At 48.5% G+C, this 21,291-nt stretch overlaps 1 protein-coding gene across 5 annotated transcripts in view, besides 2 other annotated features; it reads right to left on the bottom strand.

Annotated features, from left to right (window-relative positions):
- Positions 1–21,291, bottom strand: part of CFAP77 (cilia and flagella associated protein 77) — a 163,109-nt gene that overhangs the window by 106,105 nt on the left and 35,713 nt on the right. The window lies entirely within an intron of this gene.
- Positions 8,464–8,963: an enhancer, noted in NCBI's record as "H3K4me1 hESC enhancer chr9:135333639-135334138 (GRCh37/hg19 assembly coordinates)". NCBI's record gives its function as "activates a minimal SCP1, AML or CMV promoter by ChIP-STARR-seq in naive H9 embryonic stem cells {active_cell/tissue: H9 hESC(naive)}" and the evidence as "EXISTENCE:reporter gene assay evidence [ECO:0000049][PMID:30033119]".
- Positions 8,964–9,465: an enhancer, noted in NCBI's record as "H3K4me1 hESC enhancer chr9:135333137-135333638 (GRCh37/hg19 assembly coordinates)". NCBI's record gives its function as "activates a minimal SCP1, AML or CMV promoter by ChIP-STARR-seq in naive H9 embryonic stem cells {active_cell/tissue: H9 hESC(naive)}" and the evidence as "EXISTENCE:reporter gene assay evidence [ECO:0000049][PMID:30033119]".

Here is a 21,291-nt window from a genome sequence, read left to right as displayed (position 1 = left end):
ATTTTGTTATGTATATTTTATGATTTATTTATTTATTGAGATGGAGTCTCACTCTGTTGCCCAGGCTGGAGTGCAGTAGTGCGATCTCGGCTCACTTCAACTTCCATCTCCCAGATTCAAACGATTCTCCTGCTTCAGCTTCCCCAAAAGCTGGGATTACAGGCGTATGCCACCACGCCTGGCTAATTTTTGTATTTTTAATAGAGACAGGGTTTCACCATGTTGTCCGGGCTGGTCTCAAACTCCTGACCTCAGGTGATCCACCCGCCTCGGCCTCCCAAAGTGCTGGGATTACAGGTGTGAGCCACTGCACCTGGCCTGTATTTTACAATTTGAAATGAAAACAAAGGCTGTTCCCAGCCCCAGGACACCTGGCTGTGACAAATGTCATTGATTGATCTGAATCAAAGAATTAGAGCAGGTGGAGGAGCCCAGAGGTCATCTCCACCAGCCCCTTCTACTGGGCAAGTCCTTGGGATGTGGTGAGGAGGGGCCAGACAGGCTTCTGGAGGAAGCCGGGAGGTCGGGGGAACTAACTCTGAGCTATTTTCTTGAAGAGGAAAAATAGCTCTTTGGGGCACCTCTGCCAGGTGTCCCCACACCGATCCAGTCTTTCTTTCCCAAGGACCGGATGTGCAGGAAATTACTTGACATCGGGTCCTTGGGAAGAGAGTACCAACTGCCGACATAGTGCAGAGGGCAATGCGACATTTGTTCTCTGGCATCTGGCTTTGCAGAATGTCCCCATCCCATGACCCAAGTTCCAGGAACTGTGCTCCTCCTGGGACTTGGTGTATAAGGGTGCCTGGCTTCATGCAGTGGAGACACAATCCTGCTAACTGCAGCTGACCTGAATGTGTGTCAATCAAAGCGTTGTCTAAAGGCATCCCGGGATGGGTCCTGTCGTGAGAGTAAAGTGGACATTCTCAACCCCAGCTGCTCTCTAGAATCATCAAGGGGCATTTAAAAAAATGCTCATGTCAGCCAGGCTTACGTCTGTAATCCCAACTACTCAGGAGGCTTAGGAGTGAGGATTGCTTGAGCCTGGAAGATCAAGGCTGCAGAGAGCCACTGCACCCCAGCCTGGGCAACAGAGCAAGACCATGTCTTTAAAAAAAAGTGCTCATGTCTGCATCCCACCCCTAGACATTCTGCAGTCAAGAATCCTCTGTGACATAGCTTAAGCTCCCCCGCCATGGATTTTCAAGTTCAAATGGTATTAATGTCAGCTATCCACAGGTAAAGGCAGACCAAAATGTTCTCAGGTTTCTGGTGCAGGCCCTTCCTCCTGTCAGTTCATCACTGCCTTATTTTGAACCACTTGCCTCCGGTAAGTTTTTATGTCTCCTCGTGCCATCAGCCCAGCTCATCCTGTTTGTTTCTAAAAGCTAACAGCTCCCATGAAGTGTTGGGGACAAGGAGCAGAGAATTGCCTGTTCTGCCTTGAGGACTCAGGCAGAGTTTGGCAGAACTAAGAGACTTTTTTAGAAAACGTTATGGGTAGTCTATTTTAAGTTACTTCATGCTTGTTGTACAAGTCAATCAGATGTGTATAAAGGCAAAATAAACAACCCCTTTTTTTCCATCTCACCCACTGAGGTCCCCCAAGTGAACACCAGGGTGTGTCTTTCTGTGCCTCCCTCACCTGAACTTGGGCACACATACCAACGGCTACAAGTGCAGGCATTTCCCCTGCACACGTGGGATCTGCACCTTGCCACTCCCTCAAACATAGATCAAAGGCCCACATCTAGGTCTAACTTGTGCCTTTTCCTGGCTGTATCATACTCCACAGGGTAGATTTACTGTTCCCCCAACACAACCTTCATGACCAGGTGTTTCTTATTTTTTATTTTTGTTTTTTTGCTGCTGCAATGCAAACAAGACTTCAGGAAACACTCTCGCACATGAATTCCATGACTAATGAATTTCAGTAGAAGAGAGTACCCAAAATCGAACTCCATAGTAAAGATCCCCAAAAGCTGGAGAATTAAGCAAAAGAATATGTGAATTCGACTTTTAAGAGACTCCTTCAGACAACTTGCCACAAAAGCACTGGGAAGAAGTCAAGGGAACTGTCAAGCCAGCATTTTCTTTTCTTTTTCTTTCTTTCTTTTTTTCTTTTTTTTTTTTTTTTTTTTGAGACAGAGTCTCGCTCTGTCGCCCAGGCTGGAGTGTAATGGCACAATCTTGGCTCACTGCAACCTCCACCTCCCAGGTTCAAGTAATTCTCCTGCCTCAACCTCCCGAGTAGCTGGGATTATTATAGGCATGCACCAGCACACCCGGTTAATTTTTGTATTTTTAGTTGGCCAGGGTGGTCTCGAATTCCTGACCTCAGGTGATCCACCCGCCTCAGCCTCCCAAAGTGCTAGGATTACAGGCATGAGCCACTGCGCCCGGCCCAGCATTTCCAAGTCAATGAAACAGTCACCATTCTTTCTCCTGAGTGATGCTCTTGGATACAATAGCCACAGCCCACGTGTGGCCACTAAGCACTTGAAACACGGCAGGCTGGAATCGAGATGTGCAGTGAGTGTAAAGTACACTCCAGGCTTCCAAGATGTCAGGCCAAAAAAGGAATGGAAAACGGGCTCATTAATAATTTTATATTGATTACACATTGCACTGATAGTATTTTGGACATAGTGGGTTAAATAATATGTCATTAAAATTAATTTCCCTTGTTTCTTTTTTACGTATTGAATGTGGCTTCTAGAACATTTAACCACCTAGAGGGCTTGCACAAGGCTTGCATTGTTACCCTTTGGGCCTGTGCTGTTCCACAGTTGTGTGGCCTGCAGGAACAGGCTCTGAAGACAGCACAGTTCTGCCTCGTCCGGTTTTTTTTTTAAATTGGGGTGAGCAATTTCACCTCTCCAAGACTTGGTATCCTCGCTTGTAAAATGGGAGATGCTGGGAGAGTTCTGGGAGGAGGCGGCAGAGACCGAGCCCTGTATCTGGCCCACGGCATACTCAGTTATCAGGGCTGTCAATACACTCATTACTGATGGGAAGATGTGCATGTTTCCCTAAAATATGAAAGGATACAGTGCTTGCAGTGGTTTTAGGTGCCATTTGCTGGGAAATACCTGAACTTTGTTGTTGTCAGTCACTAAGAAACTGCTTTTCTCTATGGAGACGTTCACTGTAAGCACAGCAGGTTGTGATGCGGAATGAGGGAAAGCAGCCTCTTTCCGTGATTCCCATCCGACCCCTTTGCCTGTCACCCAGCCATGACCGGGAACTAAAACCATCAGGCGGCTCCCAGCCCAGGTATCCTTGGAGTGGAATCCACCCACACTTGTGCATCCTGGGCCGAGTTCAGGGCCCTTCCAGGCCAAGCCAGGTGAGTGTTTGTGTCCTTCCTGTCAGCAGCCCCATGCACAGATAGCAGGGACACCAGGGACCTCCGCTGCTGTCCTTGGGCCTGGACTCCCCGTTGCCTCCAGGCTCAGGCCTGCTTCTGAAGCCCTGGGTGGTTGGGCTGAATGGGAAGAGACGGTGCCCACTGGGGTCACCACTCTCCACCATCTCTGCTGGTCCCCAGGTAAGGCAGCATCCCCTCCCCCTTAGCGTCATTAGCCCGGTGACCCCTTTCCTGCTGTATCACTGGGGGTCTTCCACCGGGGCCAGGCTCCCTCCTCTACTGTGAGTAACCTCTGCTGTGTGGTGGACACCTGAGGAAAGACCACTTCGTTCAGGTATCCAGGTGGGGGTGGCCCAGGGGACAGCAAGCTTCCGACTTCATTCAGCAATTTGTCCCAGCTTCCTGACTTTTTAAATGCCTGCAACTCTTTCCATTACCCAGATGTGCCATAAAATAAGCTTCTGCCCCCAGATAGCATCCCAGGCAATGGCCATTTCTCTCGTTTCTGGGTTTTCTACACTCTAAAACCACACCGCAAGAACATGTTTGTATATATGTGCACATAATTCTGGAGCTTAAATCTTAACTGGGGAGTTTCTGGGCCAAAGGGTACTCACATTTTAAAATGTCATTGGTGCTGAAAAGTGCCTTTCGCAAAGATTGGCTGACTTGCGACGTCATCCACAGCACCTGAGAGTGGCCACCTTCCATCCGTTCCCAGCCCGCCCAGGCACCCTTTCCTCCTCTATTTGGCTTATATACTTCTTCTGTATGCTCCTGACTCATTGCCTCTCCCCGTCCTGCTATCCAGCCCACTCTGGACTGCTGGATAGCAGCTAGGTGCTCCGCAATAATACACACATCTATGAATCCTGGAGCATCCACTATGTGCCAGGCCTTGGACCTGGTGCTGGAGAGACAGACCCAGGCCTATCTTCATGGAGTTCACTCTGTAAAATATATATAAACTTACATACAAAGTGCATGTATATACAAACGTGTTCTTTATTTTATTTTATTTTTATTTTGAGACGGAGTTTCGCTCTTGTTGCCCAAGCTGGAGTGCGGTGGCACGACCTCGGCTCACTGCAACCTCTGCCTCCCAGGTTCAAGCAATTCTCTTGCCTCAGCCTCCTGAGTAGCTGGGATTACAGGCGCCCACCACCACGCCTGGGTAATTTTTTTCTATTTTTGGTAGAGACGGGGTTTTACCACGTTAGCCAGGCTGGTCTCGAACTCCTGACCTCAGGTGATCCACCCACCTCGGCCTCCCAAAGACAAACGTGTTCTTGCAGTGTAGTTTTATGACGTTGAAAACCTGGAGATGATAGAAATGGCCATTGCTGGAGGTGCTGTTGGAGTGGGGGCACAGAAGCCTACATTTATGGGACATCTATGTAATGGAACGAGTCACAGCCATTTTAAAAAGGAGGGAAACCAACACCTTCTGCTATGAAAATGTCCCAATTTGTGCCTGGCAGATAAATGAGTGAAGCAGCACCTCATCGTGGAAAAACAAAACAAGCAAACAAACGGAGGAGCAGGACCACTTGCACGTACTTAGAATTATTCCAGAGTAACTCACAAGAAACACGTCCTAGAGATCAGCCACAGGCACTGGGGCTGGCTTTCTTCCCTCCGTCCCAGGGGAACCCATTCCCTTTCTGCGACTCCAAGACTGCGGTTTGTAAACAAGGCCAGGCACTGAAGCAGCCAGCTCACACTGGGAATTGGGGGACCAGCTGTGTTACAGTTACTAATCGCTACCTCTCTGGGCCTCTTTCTTCTCGCCCATAAAATGAAGGAGCGGAGATGTTCAATAGGTAGATATTAGGTGCCTGCCGTGTGCAAGGGACCACAGAGTCCTCTCTGGATTTCCTTGATTTCTCCTCCTCCTTAACATTTGCAGAGAAAACTGGAAAGGACCCTTGGGGCGTTTAAAAAATGCTTACTGCATTCTCAAGGACGCAGGCTCTAGAGCAGAAACGGGGGGAAATCGCAGCCACTCTGTGAGGCGGATGAAGTGGCACAACAAAGGCCTTGGCTGAGAAGCCTGTCTGTCTTTAACAAAGCATTGCCCGCACACACTGTCATTGCCTTGTTATGGCCATTGGTGTCATCGTTCATCGGCCAGGCCTGGGAAGGGCCCAGGGGAGCAGTTCTGCCTTTGCTAAACCAATATCCCCCACGACAAACCCCCGCAGTCTTCCCTTGGCCGTCCCGGTAGAATAAATCCTCGGTCGCTCTTTGCTGAATGATCATGAAGACATGATTAAAGCTCTAGATTTATAGCTTCCCTGGGCTCAAGGAATCAAGCTGTTCTGCTGCTGGGGCCTGCCCTAGTTGGCTGCTGGGGACCAGGGAGCAGGGAAATAGACATGGTCCCCGAGCCAGAAGGAAGGCCGCTGAAGCAGATGCAATTAAGGCATTAGCCAAATTGTAGTTGGCAGCACCGGGCTGTACCAGGGGTCTTTAACTCATCCTGGCGTAAGACAGAGAGACCTGCAAAAGCAGTCCCAGAACCCGGGCACACCCTTGGCCACACACCTCGTCCAATGCGTGGGTTTTGTCTAACCCCAAAACGAGGGGCGCTTTGCCCAGTTCCTCCTCTCATGTTCCATCTATAAGAAGTGTGATTTCCAAAGACTGGAGGTGAGTTGTGTCACTGTTACTGTTCTTAAAAGCCAACCTTCATTCAGCACTTGCTATTGTGCCAGGCACTGTGCGGAGGGCTTTGAGTAAATAAATGAGCATACATTTTTTACATTAATTTTTTTTTAATTTAGGTGAAAATTACGTAGTATAAAATTGACCCTTTTGGCCAGGCACAGTGGCTCACACCTGTAATCCCAGCACTTTGGGAGACTGAGGCAGGTAAATCGCCTGAGGTCAGGAGTTTGAGGCCAGCCTGGCCAACATGGTGAAACCCCGTCTCTACTAAAAATACAAAAATTAGCTGGGCGTGGTGGCGGGCACCTGTAATCCCAGCTACTCAGGAGGCTGAGGCAGGAGGATCATTTGAACCCAGGAGGCGGAGGTTGCAGTGAGCCGAGATTGCACTGCACTCCAGCCTGGACGACAGAGAATTGACCCTTTTAAAGTGCACAATCCAGTGGTATTGAGTAGATTCACAATGTTGCACAACCATCACCTCTATCTAGTGCCAACACTTTTTCATCACCCCAAAAGGTTATCTCATACCCGTTGAGCAGCCACTCCTCACACCCCCATCTCCCCGGTCTTAGCAGCCACTGGTCTATTTGATCCATTTTCTATGGATTTGCCTATTCTAGATATTTCCTGTAAATGGAATCATCTAATATGTGTCCTTTGGATCTGGCTTCTTTCCCTTAGTATAATGTTTTCAAGGTTTGTCCATGCTGTAGCATGGATCAGTACTTCATTCCTTTTTAATGGCCAAGTAATATTCCACCATATGGATAGGCCATATTTTATATCCATTCATCTGCTGATGGACGTTCAAACATTCTTGAGGTGGGTGCTATTATCATTTCCACTCTGCAGAGGAGAACACAGTGGCTTTGGGGAGTCAAGTCACTTACCCAAGGCCCTGTGCCTCATAAAGTGGAGGAGGTGGGAGGTGGCCAGGCAGTCTGACCGCTGAACTGCCCGGGAACTGGGGAAGGGCTGGAGCAAGAGCAAAGGCAGAGAGAGCAACAGCAGGAAATGGATGGAGTAGCTTTTCTGAACTATCCCCTGGTACATCCATAAACACTCTTCCATTCACTCCAAAGGGGCTGGTCAGGAAGCCCTTCTGCTTACAAAGTCCTCAGGGTGCGATGCCCTGCATGGAAGGATGCATGAAGACCTGGATGTCAGGAGAAGTGTCTTGAAGGTCTTTAAGAAGTATACACGCACACGCTCATGCACTCAGACTCACACACACTCACGCACACACTCATACAAACTCACACTCACACACTAACACACTCACACCCACATACACTCACACATACACACACTCACACACAGACTCACAATACTCCCACACATACGCACACTCATACACACACATACACACATCGCTCTCACATACACACACGCTCTCACACACACTCATACACACACATACACACACACTCACACACATATACACATACATACAGGTAAACACACATACACAAACACATATGCACACATATACACATAAATATGCACACATGAGACATATACACACATACATACACATGTATACACACATATACATACACACACATATACAGGCATATATATATACATACACATACATGCACACATGCTCACACACATACACACACACCTACACACACTCACACATACACCCACCTAAACAGAGACATACATATACACACATATATACACACAAATACATATACATACACTCACACATACACACACACACACACACACACACACACACACACCCTATTCATCCAGGCCACATTAGGTGCATGGGATAAATTAGTTCCAGGGTGGCCGGGCGCGGTGGTTCACTCCTGTAATCCCAGCACTTTGGGAGACCAAGGCGGGCAGATCACGAGGTCAGGAGATCGAGACCATCCTGGCTAACACGGTGAAACCCCGTCTCTACTAAAAATACAAAAAATTAGCTGGGCGTGGTGGCGGGCGCCTGTAGTCCCAGCTACTCGGGAGGCTGAGGCAGGAGAATGGCATGAACCTGGGAGGCGGAGCTTGCAGTGAGCCAAGATAACGCCACTGCACTCCAGCCTGGGCAACAGAGCGAGACTCTGTCTCAAAAAAAAAAAAAAAAATAGTTTCAGGGCTGTAGACTGGGCTGCCACCAGAAGGGCAAGTCACAATTTACCCAGACTATCTTTTCATTTTTACCCCGAAGGAAATTTTCTCCCACGATCTGGTCTGGTTATCAAGTCTGCGACTATCCTCACCCCTGAGTGTACTTGGAGGAAGAGTGTGACTTCAAAAGGGTTCAACCATTTCATGCTTTTTTCACCCTTTTATTTCCTTGCACATGCCTCAGTGTTTTAGTGTTAGCCTGCTGGAAACAGTGGTTCCAGGTATAACAAGGTATCACCAACAGAAGCGTCTCCTTTGAATTTTCCAGCTTGCCTGGCTACATCTGTGCCGCCTAACACGACACCTGCCAGCCGCAAGTGCTATTTAGATTTAAATTAATTATAATTAAGTCTCACTAGCCATGCGGCTTGTAGTGACCCTACTGGACACAGGAGGGAGAGCTCCCTCCAGAAAGTTCCACCGGACAGTGCTGAGCTACCCAATGCTAATTCCCCAACTCACTGTCTCCATTTCACTCTGTCCTGTGCGGACCTGACCTATGAAGAGGAATAAACATTTTCTTCTGCTGATCACTGTTAGGATGAAACCTAGCCCACACAGGCAAGATGAAGTGGACAGATGCAGCAACGATGGGAAAATTCAGTCGAAATTCCATATGTGGAGAAAAGAAGATGCGGGAAAGTGGGGATGAGCTGAGCCTTCCATACACACCCCCCCCCCTCCCCCGCCAGGGAGACAAAGGTGGAGAGGCCTGTCGGTGAAGAAGAAATCAAAAGCTTGTCGCTGCGACCGTAAGCTGCACTTCTGCGCATCTCAGGCCCGTCCAGGGGCCCGGATCTGTGCAAGCGCCCCTGGCTCCGGGATAACGGGGTCCCTCTTTATGTTCTGATTTAAGGCCTCGCAGGATTTTCATTCCTTCGCCCCGGATCTCACACGCACCGCAAGGCCGCTCTGAGTAAGAAGGAGGCCCACATCTCAAGCCCCACGCTTCTCTACTGCTCTGAGCTGCAGAGAAAATAGGATCATAAAATATGACGAGGGAGGGAGGCCCCGGGCCTTCGGAAATAAGGGATCGGGGCTGTTAGACTCCTAACTGTGCCTGGGAGAGTCGGTCCTGACGATCTGGGACACCAGATTAATTAAGTCAATCCAAATGTGCAGAGGGTTTCAGGGAGGGAAAGGGGTGTTTTAGGAGCTGATTTTATCTGGGGTGGGATCCAGAGAATCACAGGCACGCGTCTTTATGCTCCTTCCCCGCCTTCGCGTCTCCCTTCCCTTTCTCTCTCTGCCTCCTTGAGAGCAGGCAGGAGCAGTTTGTTTTCGACTGCCGGAGGAGACTTGAAATATTACCAAGGTGGCGTGCGGAACGCTCCCCACGGCCCTGCCCCGATGGCACGCGTGCAGACATAAAAAGCAAATACCATCAGTAACCTGTCGCCAGATTCCAGCAACAAGGCGAGAGTTTTTCTCCCTGCCGGGGCTGTTAGCGGCGATGTATTTCTCCCTGCACTAAGCACCATCTTTCCCAAGGCTGCATTACAATGATTTATAAACCCCATTTCTGGGGAAAACGAATAGATCAAAGTGAGGAGAAAAGAAAAGGAGACATGAGCAGCTGGAGGAAGATATTGAAGCAGGAAGCAAAAAACACAAAAGAAAAACTAGGCAGTGACACAGTCGAGCTATTCCTCGCTGCACTTTTATCAGAGAAAAATAATAGCGAAATCTCGATTTTAATCCTTTCTCCCCCCGCCCCCCCACCCCCGTCCCCGTCTTAAGATGCGGCCGCCTGTCAGTTCCTAGGGCTCTGAGTGTGGCGGGCATGCGTGGGAGCGAGTCCTCAGGATCACACAACTGGACCCAGGCCGAGGGCTTCATCCAGAGAATACGCAAACCTTGGCCTCATCTTCCTCATCTTCAGGGGTGGGGGTGACCGGTTTAGGGGGCTCAGTCAGCTCCTGCACACATAAGAAGGATTGCCCTGAGTTGCTGTCCCAGTAGGGGCCAGTCATGGGTCTTTTTAAAGATCTGCCTGGGGCCAGGTGCCTGTAATCCCAGCACTTTGGGAGGCTGAGGCAGGTGGATCACTTGAGCTCAGGAGTTCAAGACCAGCCTGAGCAACAACTTGGTGAGACCCCATCTCTACATACATTAGTCAGACACGGTGGTGCACACTTGTAGTCCCAGCTACTCAGGAGGCTGAGGCATGAGAATCGCTTGAGCCCAGGAGGTGGAGGTTGCGGTGAGCTGAGATTGCACCACTGCACTCCAGCCTAGGCAACAGAGTATGACCGTGTCTCAAAAAAAAAAAAAATTTTTTTTAAATCTCCAGTTGGATCAGCAGCCTCTTCCCATCTCCCAGGTGGTTATTGCCCAAACTGAATGGTTTCTTTGAGATGCTGTTTTCCATGAAGACCAGAGGAAGAGGAAATGGACTTAGGACTGAGGGAGCTGAGTGGGGCCAGGCTATGGAAATCTTAATGGGATTCTGCACGGGCGCTCAAGTCCATCACTGAATAAGAGATGGCTCCAGGGCCAGGACTCTGTGCACCCACAGGGCTAGAAGGCACTGCCCCTGTCTAGTATTTTCAGAAGGTTCATTTGAACACATTTCTGGAGTCTGACCGCATGCCTGGCGCCATACCAAGGAGGCGCCGTAGGGAATATGAAGATGAATGAGTCAAGCGCTGGCTGAAGATGGGGTACAAATGGGAACAGGCACAGGCACGTGACAAGGCACATGAGGCTGGGAGAGGGGCAGCAGATGTCAAGATGGGGGGCAGGACAACAGCTACTGTGGACAGAGCCCCTCCTCAGTCACCCATTCTGAGCTGCCTTCCCCACCCAGCCACTTACTATAAGCGATGCTACCTTTCGGCTGTGTATTTATTGTCTGTCTTTCTCCATTCAAATGTAACCACGAGAGAGGCAGCTCACCTGTCTCGTTCAACGGAGCCTAGGATAGTACCCGACACTCAGCAGGTGCTTCATAAAATATTCGTGGATGGACGAGTGCCAGGCCCAGCACTCACATTTCCTCATTGAATCGCCACGGCAGTGCCACCAGGAATGTGTAATTGTCCTCATTTTAGAGAAGGGAAAACTAAGAGTGGATAAATAACTTGCTCAAGGTTATACAGCTAATAAGTGGCTGACGCTGGATGAGAACTCGGGTCTGTGTCTGTGGACCTCAAAGCCCACATCCTGGCCACTACATTCTGTGGCCTCCCCAAACCCCACAGTTAAGAGTTACAGCCTTTCCTTGACAATTGCATCCTGTTGGGAGCTGAGTGGAGAGACATTTGGGGTTCGTTTTGCTTTTTTGTTTTGTTTTGTTTTTGAGACAGTCTTGCTCTGTCACCCAGGCCAGAGTGCAGTAGTGCGATCTCAACTCACTACAACCTCCGCCTCCCAGGCTCAAGCGATCCTCCCACCTCAGCCTCCTGAGTAGCTGGGACCACAGGCATGTACCATCATACAGAGCTATTTTTTTGTATTTTTAGTAGAGATAGGGTCTCGCCATGTTGCCCAGGCTGGTCTCGAAGTTTTTTTGTTTTTTTTTTTCAGGAGTCTCGCTCTGCCACCCAGGCTAGAGTACAGTGGCACGATCTCAGCTCACCGCAACCTCCACCTCCTGGTTTCAAGCAGTCCTCCCTGCCTCAGCCTCCCGAGTAGCTGGGATATCAGGTGCCCGCCACCACACCTGGCTAATTTTTGTATTTTTAGTAGAGATGAGGTTTCGCCATGTTGGCCAGGCTGATCTCGAACTCCTGACCTCAGGTGATCCACCCGCCTCGGCCTCCCAAAGTGCTGGGATTACAGGTGTAAGCCACAGCACCCAGCCAGTTCCACTTTTTAAGGTAAGAACCCCACACTACTGGGCTCTGCTGCAATGACAGATGGTATTGCCATCAACAAGGTCCCAGGCCTGATAAAGCCTAGGAAAGGGCCAGCTAGGATCTGCGAGTAGAACAAACTTCACAAGATATCACTGGGCCTTCCCATGGACTGGAGTTCTTTGTGCAGGCTAATTTATTGCCTTTTCTTTCTTTTTTTTTGTAGGATGTTATGACATTTTGTGATGTCCTCACTTCAGGTAATCCTGGGATGGTCTAAGTGATCACTCTCTGACTTAAGGGGACTTTGAAAGAAGTGCCTCAGTGTGTGGTTTGGGTGGGGAGAATTGGCTCAAGTCACTGACTGATTGAAGTCAACAGATGGCCTTAGGTGCCTGAGGTCCACATGTCTACCAGGAGGGCTGGGCCACTAGATGGCTGGCCTGTCCCCATCCACTCAATAACAAGGGCAATGCTGGCCCCTGGCTACGTTATAGGTATGTCTGCCTTCTCAAAGCTAGGATACTGTTGCATAATTAGGAGTGCTTACTTGCTTTCCTGAAGTAGTCTTCACTTCTAGAAAAGGATTCACCACGTGGTTCCATTCAAAAGGGCATTGTATCAAACTATCACTCAATTGGTAAAAAATGTGATGTGTGGGCAGCTTTTCCAGAACACACCAACCAATGAACAATATCAGAGATGCCGATTTCAGCACCTGTTCCCTTTACTTGCAAATGGAAACCTCAGTAACACCTGAACACGTTTTATGGAGAAAGAAGCTTAGTTCCACTTTATTCATGTGGGGAAGTAAAACCAAAGTTTTACCCTAAAAGTTCAAAGAAATCGAACTGACTTACACTGGTTATTTAATATTTTAGAAAGCCCTCGGTTTCCTGGGATGACAAGCTACTCACTGTGTTTTCAGCCTGATCTGATTTTTAAATAGATGAGTTACAACCCTCCTGAAAATTGGGGTTTATAATTGAAATATTGATAAACTCTTTCCCATAAAGAAGCTACTAGATACTGCAGTAATAACTAGGAAATAGGCAAAAAATTATGATGCTTTTCTCTGCTTAGCCAAGAAGTACAATGGCAGAGTTTATTGCATACAAAACACAGCTGCCTTTCTTCAAATTGGATACAAAAAAAATGAACCCCGATAAATTATGATGCCCCTAAATTGCAAAGAATGTACATCAATTATTGGGGGTGCCACCGCCCTCCTTCTGGGCAACCTACTTATTAGGACTGTAATTTATTATTATTATGCTTTGGTGCAAATACACACGCTGATAAATTCAAATCTGTTAAAACAAATGTCCTCCTTTCTCTGAATCAGTAAGGGACAACATTCCAAAAGAAAGTATTGTAAATGTGAAAAGCAAATGGCTCTTACGTACTCAGAAGTGAGAGACCAAAAGATGATTGATTAAGGGAGAAAACATCCAGAATGATCCAAGCTTTCTGACTCCTACCCAAGAATCCAAGAATTGCTACAAGAGTGGGCAGCAAGATACAGGGTTGGGGTTCATTACCTGGTGCCCCTGGCTCCAGCCCCCACACTGAAGCCCTTTTTATGAAAACAAACGGTTTCTGTGGGGTTTTTAAATGAATCTTTTGGCTTCAATTGGAACCAACATGATATATATTTCCTTCCACCAGATATATGAATTATATTGGCTTTATTTTATTTTATTTTTTGAGACGGAGTCTCGCTCTGTCGCCCAGGCTGGAGTGCAATGGCGTGATCTCAGCTCACTGCAACCTCCGCCTCCCGGGTTCAAGCAATTCTCCTGCCTCAGCCTCCCAAGTAACTGGGATTACAGGCGCATGCCGTCTTGCCCAGCTAATTTTTTTGTATTTTAGCAGAGACGGAGTTTCACCGTGTTGCCCAGGCTGGTCTCGAACTCCGGAGCTCAGGCAATCCACCTGCCTCAGCCTCCCAAAGTGCTAGGATTACAGGTGTGAGCCACTGCGCCCGGCCTATATTGGCTTTTTAAAAAGCTGAACGTTAAATTTGGGAAGGATTTTAGGAATCACTGTTACTCCCCTCCTTTTACAGAAGAGGAAATGGAGATTCACTGAGGGCATGAAGGGAAGAGTGAAGGCTGAGTGTCAGGTCCATGCCCCAGGTTCATCCAGCTTCACTAACTTGCTGCTTGGCAAAAGAAAAGCCAAGTGGTTCGTGTTGACTGAGCACACACCATGAGTCTAATGCTTTTCTCTGCTTAGCCAAGAAATACAATGGCAGAATTTATTGCCATTAACTCTGCTTAATGGCAGCGCCACTAAGAGCTTTTCAGGTATATTAGGAATGGAACTCCTTCTTAGAGTCAAAGAATTTGAGAGTCAGAAAGGGTCATCTGGTCCTCCCTCCTGCTCAGGTCCAATAAATGTTCCTTGCAGAGTCAGTGGGTCTCCAGGCTGTTTAGTTCCTTCTGGGACAGAGCACCCCTGCTGCATGAGGCACCCCATCTCAGCAACAGATCCGTCACACTCTCGGGCACCTCTTCTTTATATCCAATTGGAGTCTGCCTCCCTGGAGCTTCCACCGAGGTCCTAGTCCTGATTCTTAGTTGCTGGGCACAGGCCTGACTCCTGGTGCAGAATCCAATGTTAGTGGCAGTTCAATAGCTCTCTCTGGAGTAAAACAGAAAAGCCACCTTCTTCAGAGACTTGAAAATCATGCTCCAATTCTATTTTGGCCTTTTCTTCTCCTTCAACTGGTCCTCCTGTGGTTTCTGGACTGCTCACCAACCTGGCCCCCTCCTCTTCAGGCTGCAGTACCCAAGGTAATCAGAGCTGAGCCCAGGTGCTCTTTGCAAAGCAGGGGCACGGGAAGGGGTCTTGCCTATTTATAACATCAGTGCCCAAACCAACGCCACCTGGCTGCTGTAAGAATGTTCTCAACAGGCTTGACTTTCCGCTTAGGAGAAGGCAGTGGATGCTCTGGTCAAGGCACGAACTGCAGAAGAGCTCTATCTGCCCTGGACCTTCCCCACAAGGGCACACCAACTGGGAGGAGACACATGCATTGTGACCCACCCTGCAGACAGCAAGGGGAGCCCTAATGGGCTCGCAATGGGGGAGCGATGGGACCAGATTTGTTCTTTTGAAAATCTCAGGCTGGGTGCGGTGGCTCACACCTATAATCCCAGCACTTTGGGAGACCGAGACAGGCAGATCATGAGGTCAAGGAGATCGAGACCACCCTGGCTAACAGTGAAACCCCGTCTCTACTAAAAATATAAAAAATTAGTCGGGCATAGTGGCACACACCTGTAGTCCCAGCTGCTCAGGAGGCTGAGGCAGGAGAATCGCTTGAATCCAGGAGGCGGAAGTTGCAGTGAGCCGAGATCACACCACTGCACTCCAGCCTAGGCGACAGAGTGAGACTCCTTCTGGAAAAAAAAAAAAAAGAAAAGAAAAAGAAAAAAGAAAATCTCCTTGACTCAGGGTGGGAGGCAGAGTGGAGGGGGTGAGGGCTGGTGGAGAGATGCCATAATGAAGGCAACCAGGATTGGCTCGGGTAGCAAACAGTGATGGCCCTGAACTTAGGGGGCGTGGTGGGGATCAAGAAAGGGACAAGGAATCTTCATGAGTGTCACACAATGAAGAGGAGAGAACTATGGAGTAAGGTGGCAGTGTAGATGCTGGGTGGCTGACGAGGTACACTCACTAGTTCAAATGACTCCTGTACACACAGACACACCTCACAGTGCAGGATATTCAAATTTGAATCTTCGCGAAACTATGAATCATTGAATGTCATGGGCCTTCCGGGCCCTCACTTGAGTGTTAAAACCACCAGCGCTAAAAGACCACTGTTTGTGGCAGACCGACTACCCACATCCAATTCATGATCTTTCTTTTTTTTTTTTTTTTTTTAAGATGGAGTTTCGCTCTTGTTGCCCAGGCTGGAGTGCAATGGCGCGATCTCAGCTCACTGCAACCTCCGCCTCCCAGGTTCAAGCAATTCTCCTGCCTCAGCCTCCCAAGTGGCTGGGATTACAGGTGCATGCCACCATGCCCGGCTAATTTTTTGTATTCATAGTAGAGACGGGGTTTCACCATGTTGGCCAGGCTGGTCTTGAACTCCTGACCTCCAGTGATCCACCTGCCTTGGCCTCCCAGAGTGCTGAGATTACAGGTGTGAGGCACCGTGCCCGGACCAATTCATGATCTTTCCACAGACCTGCTTCCATTCTGGAATTTTCCATCTTGGTTGGAGGCACTGCCATTGCTCAAGCCAAAATCCTGACATCCATCCTTAGCTTCTCTTCCTCATCTTCCATACTCAATCAGGCTGTCTCCTAAGTAGCTCTCCAACCCATTCATTTGTTTCTTGCCCTCTGCTGCTTACCTCTCACTCACACAACTGCCATAGCCTCCTCCTGGGTCTCTGAGCCTCCCGGCTTACCCGCTCCAATCCGGGCTCTCTCTGCAGCCACATGGTCTTGCATAAAGACAGGTCTGTTCATTTCACTGCCCCACTTAACATCTTTAAAGGCATCTCATGGCCTACAGTATCAGAACCAAAATTTCCTGGTGGGCAGTGTGGTGCCGTGGTTAAGCTCATGGCCTGTCTAGGCAGACCACAGAGTTCAAATCTCTGCTCTTCTGCTTACCAGCTGTATGTAGGTAGGCACATTAATGAACCATGCCTCAGTTTCCTCATCCGTGAAAAGGGATAATAGGAGGACCTATCTCACAGAAGTTTGGTGGCTGATATGCAGAATTTAATGAGTGTTTGCAGTCATTGTTTTTATTATTAATGGTCTAGACCCATGTCCAGCCTCTGTCCACATCCTGAGGCCATCTATTGCTCTCCCAACTTCTCCACTGCCAGGCCCCCACTTTTTGCCCCAGGAACACTCACTGACCTGTAGTTCTCACACATTGCATCCTTCTCCCTGTTTCCCTGCTTCTCCAAATGCTTTTTTTTTTTTTTGCCTGGAATATCTTCCCTACCTCATTTGCCTACAGAACTCTTAATCGGCCGGGCGTGGTGGCTCACACCTGTAATCCCAGCACTTTGGGAGGGCGAGGCGGGCAGATCACAAGGTCAGGAGATCAGGACCATCCTGGCTACCACGATGAAACCCCGTCTCTACTAAAAATACAAAAAATTAGCCGGGCGTGGTGGCGGGTGTGGGCATGGTGGCGGGCACCAGTAGTCCCAGCTACTCAGGAGGCTGAGGCAGGAGCATGGCGTGAACCCGGGAGGCGGAGCTTGCAGTAAGCTGAGATAGTGCCACTGCACTCCAGCCTGGGCGACAGAGCGAGACTCCATCTCAAAACAAACAAACAAACAAACAAACAAACAAAAAAACTCTTAATCATCCCTGGAAATTCAACCATTAAATATAAAAAGACTGACAATACCAACTATTGGTGAGAACGGGGAGCAACTGAGATGCTCATACCCTGCTGGTAGCCACGTGGAATGTCCAGCCACTTTGGAAAATGATATCGCAGAACCTTGCAAAGTTAAACAGACGTTTATTATGTAACTCCACAATCCCGTTCCTGGGTATTTGCCCAAGATAAATGAAAATATATGCCCACAAAAGTGTCTGTCTGGAAATCACAGGTTATTCATAGCAGCCTTAAACTGGGAGCAACCCAGATGTTCAACAACTGAACAAATGGATAAGTGAATTGTGGTAGCCCATATGATGGAAAACTTCTTGGCAATGAAAAGGAATGAAGTACTGCTATAGGCCACAACATGGATGAATCTCAGGTGCCTTATGCTAATGAAAGAAGTAAAACATAAAAAAAAAAAAAACCTGTGTACTCTATGGCTCCATTTATATCAAATTCTAGGAAGAACAAAACTGTAGCAACAAAAAGCAATCAGTGGTTGCTGCAGCCAGGAGTAGGAGAGGAGGGTGAGTGCAGCCAGGAGTAGGAGAGGAGGGTGAGTGCAGCCAGGAGTAGGAGAGGAGGGTGAGTGCAAGGGAGCAAAAGACAGCTTCTTTGGGTGGGGAAATTGTTCTTTATTTCTACTGTGATGGAGGTTACGTGATTGCACATAACTGCCAAATCAACCAAACTGGATGCTTAAAATGGATCAACTTTATGGCATAAATATCATAGTTTCATGAACCATAAAGGAAATTTGTAAACTGACCTCCAGACTGGCCCCCTCTGTGAAGCTTTCTCTGACTTCCCACCTCCACGGTGCCCTACCCTTGTCCACAGCCCAGTTGTTGGGCTTTTCCCATAACCTCATCTCCACGTCATAGGTGCCTATCTCCCAATTATTCTAGAGGCACGGTCCTTGGTCTCTTCGTGTATCTCCACTCCCCGACTGCTCATAATAAACAGAGGCTTCAGGCAGGCATGGTGGCTCAATCCTGTAGTCTCACCACTTTGGGAGGCCGAGGTGGGTGGATCACCTGAGGTCAGGAGTTCAAGACCAGCCTGGCCAACATGGTGAAACCCCGTCTCTACTAAAAATACAAAAATTAGCTGGATATGGTGGTGCATGCCTGCAATCCCAGCTACTCAGGAGGCTGAGGCAGGAGAATCGCTTGAACCTGGGAGGTGGAGGTTGCAGTGAGCCGAGATTGCACCATTGCACTCCAGCCTGGGCAACAAGAGCGAAACTCTGTCTCAAAAAGCAAAAACAAAAACAAACAAACAAACAAAACAGAGGCTTCATTTGGGGAGCATTTCCTGTGTTCTAAGAACTCTGCCAAGTGCTGGATCCTCACAACCAGCCCAGGAGGTGAATGTTACCATCCCTGTTTTATAAAGAAATGGAGGCTCAGAGAAGTTCAGTAAATACCTGCCCAATGTCTGGTCTGCCTGAGCCAAAGCTGTGCCTTAACACAACATTACACTGCCTGCTATGGTGCATGAGGGAAGAGAAAGGCCTCAGCAGTGATGTGTTTTAATCAACCTAATTGAATGTGAGAGTCATTCCATTCTTCTCCTACTCTGTCTGAGGCCACAATCCTTCCCAGGGTCATGCAACCAAAGTTTTGTGATGTACATATAGTAACAGTGTGTGTGTGTGCATGTGTGCGTGTGTGTGTGTGCATGTGTGCGTGTGTGTATCTTGATCCAGTACAACCTGAGCTTCTTCCCTCTCCCCATTTCTGAATTAAACGAAAAAGCTAAATTAGTCCTCAGCCCAGGAGACCAGTATTACCTTGAGAACAGCTAGCACCTCCAAGTTGTCATCTAATTAAGCCACACTCCCAAACAAAGCACATAACATTGTCACCACATTACCAATGGGTACCTCCCCTGGCAGCCCCTAACTGCATAATACAGCGGCTGCTGTAAAACAAATAATCTCACTGCCTTGTAAACTGGACTCCTAAGTAGGTCTTTCCTCCAGTGGATATCCTTTGAATGTTGGGTGGTTTTATTAAGAAATATTCTAGGGCTGAGTACAGAGAGGAAGTAGCAGGTTGGTTCTTTAATCAGCCCAATTTTCTGGTATGTTCTACCTTTTAGTATTCTAGAAAACCACTCTTTCAACATATACATTGCGCTAGGTGTCTGAAGTCCCCGCGTTTGCCGCTGTCAGCAGCTTAGTGTGTATTTGAGAGGAGTGTTAGGTCCGAACACACGGCGGACACGCTGTGTGTAACCGACGTGCTGATCTACGCGGACCGACCGCAGCCACTCCGCATGCTGCTTTGTGGATGGGGATGGCCAAGAAAAGGCCACGCGCTCCTGGTGGCAGGAGCAGGGATCACGTCCAAGCTGGCGAGTGAAGACAAGACCCCAGGCAGCCTAGTCAGGGCAGGCCACCTTACACTAGTCTGAAGTCTGCTTTCGATTACCTGCTAGGCTTCAAATGAAACTGGGATTTGAATAATATGACTTCTCCTTTCTTGGAAGAGGTCCTCTAACACAACAATGATCATTAACTCCACCCAGTTCACTCTCTGCATCCCCAGAAAGAGGCAGGTTCTAACTGACAGATGGAAGCCCAGCACTTCCAGCTGCATTCTGCACCAAGTTTCTTCTGCTCATTAGTTGATTTTAAGGGGGGAAAACATAAAATGCAGAATCAGTGGCAGAGTGTAGAATCTGGAGAGAGTCAGACTGGGGTCTGAATCCTGGCTCTCCTGCTTTACCCTAAGACTTTGGGGCAAATCATCTAACCTCCTTGAGCCTCAGTCTTCACCTCTGGAAAATGGGAGAACTGGGCAGGCCCAGTGGCTCACACCTGTAATCCCAGCACTCTGGGAGGCCGAAGCGGGAGAAGCACTTGAGCCCAGGAGTTTGAGACCAGCCTGGGCAACATAGGGAGACCCCCGCTCCCCACACCTGTATTTATTTTTAAAATTAATTTTAAAAAGTAAAAATAAAATGGGAAACTGATTCCTATCTCACAGGGCTGCTGGGAAGATTAACTTAAATGAGATGATGTTGAAAGCATTTGGCATGCTTTCCCACACAGTAGAGCCCTCAGTCAGCCAGCCACATGTTATCTTTTTTTTTTTTTTTTTTTTTTTGAGACGGAGGAGTTTTGCTCTGTCGCCCAGGCTGGAGTGCAGTGGTGTGATCTCTGCTCACTGCAAGCTCCGCCTCCTGGGTTCACACTATTCTCCTGCCTCAGCCTCCCAAGTAGCTGGGACTACAGGCACCCACCACCACGCCCAGCTAATTTTTTGTATTTTTTAGTAGAGACGGGGTTTCACCATGTTAGCAAGGATGGTCTCGATCTCCTGACCTCATGATCCACCCACCTCAGCCTCCCAAAGTGCTGGGATTACAGGCGTGAGCCACCACGCCCGACCTTGAGAGCCATATCTTTGGCAGGCACCGTCGGTAGTTAGGTGAAGAGTGAAGCACTACACGCGATCTATCGGGGCTTCATTCGAGCTGGTGTTCTCGGTGAAAACAGAAACCAGGACCACGCATGACCAGACGACTCAGAGATCCAGGTCTGAGGGCCACAGCCTTGGGCTCCAGGATCAGGGTTCAGCCCTGCTCTCTGGCACGACCGAGCAGACTCTTTAATTTCCTAGATTTTAAGGAAGCTCTTCTGAACTTTTTTTTCCATAATGAAAAATATCTCATGGATCAAGTTCTCATGTGCTCACCATGCCTGTGAGCAAACCTAGATCCTGAGGAAAGTCCCCACCAGCATCATTTGTAGGACAATTACATTAGAATGAGCACCCATAATTGGAACAGCTACATAAGGGTCAACAGCAAACGCCTGTCACTACAGGCTGAGATGAGAGGCAGGTGGAGAGCGGCACCCAATGCACCCTGCCCAGTTGGAAGCCCCCTCCCCTAAAAGAGCACTAGAGAACACAAGAGCAGAGA

Source organism: Homo sapiens, chromosome 9 (assembly GCF_000001405.40).
Source record: "Homo sapiens chromosome 9, GRCh38.p14 Primary Assembly".
Classification (NCBI taxonomy): domain Eukaryota; kingdom Metazoa; phylum Chordata; class Mammalia; order Primates; family Hominidae; genus Homo; species Homo sapiens.
Note: the sequence above shows the minus strand (reverse complement) of the source record. Positions and strands in the feature narration are given on the sequence as shown.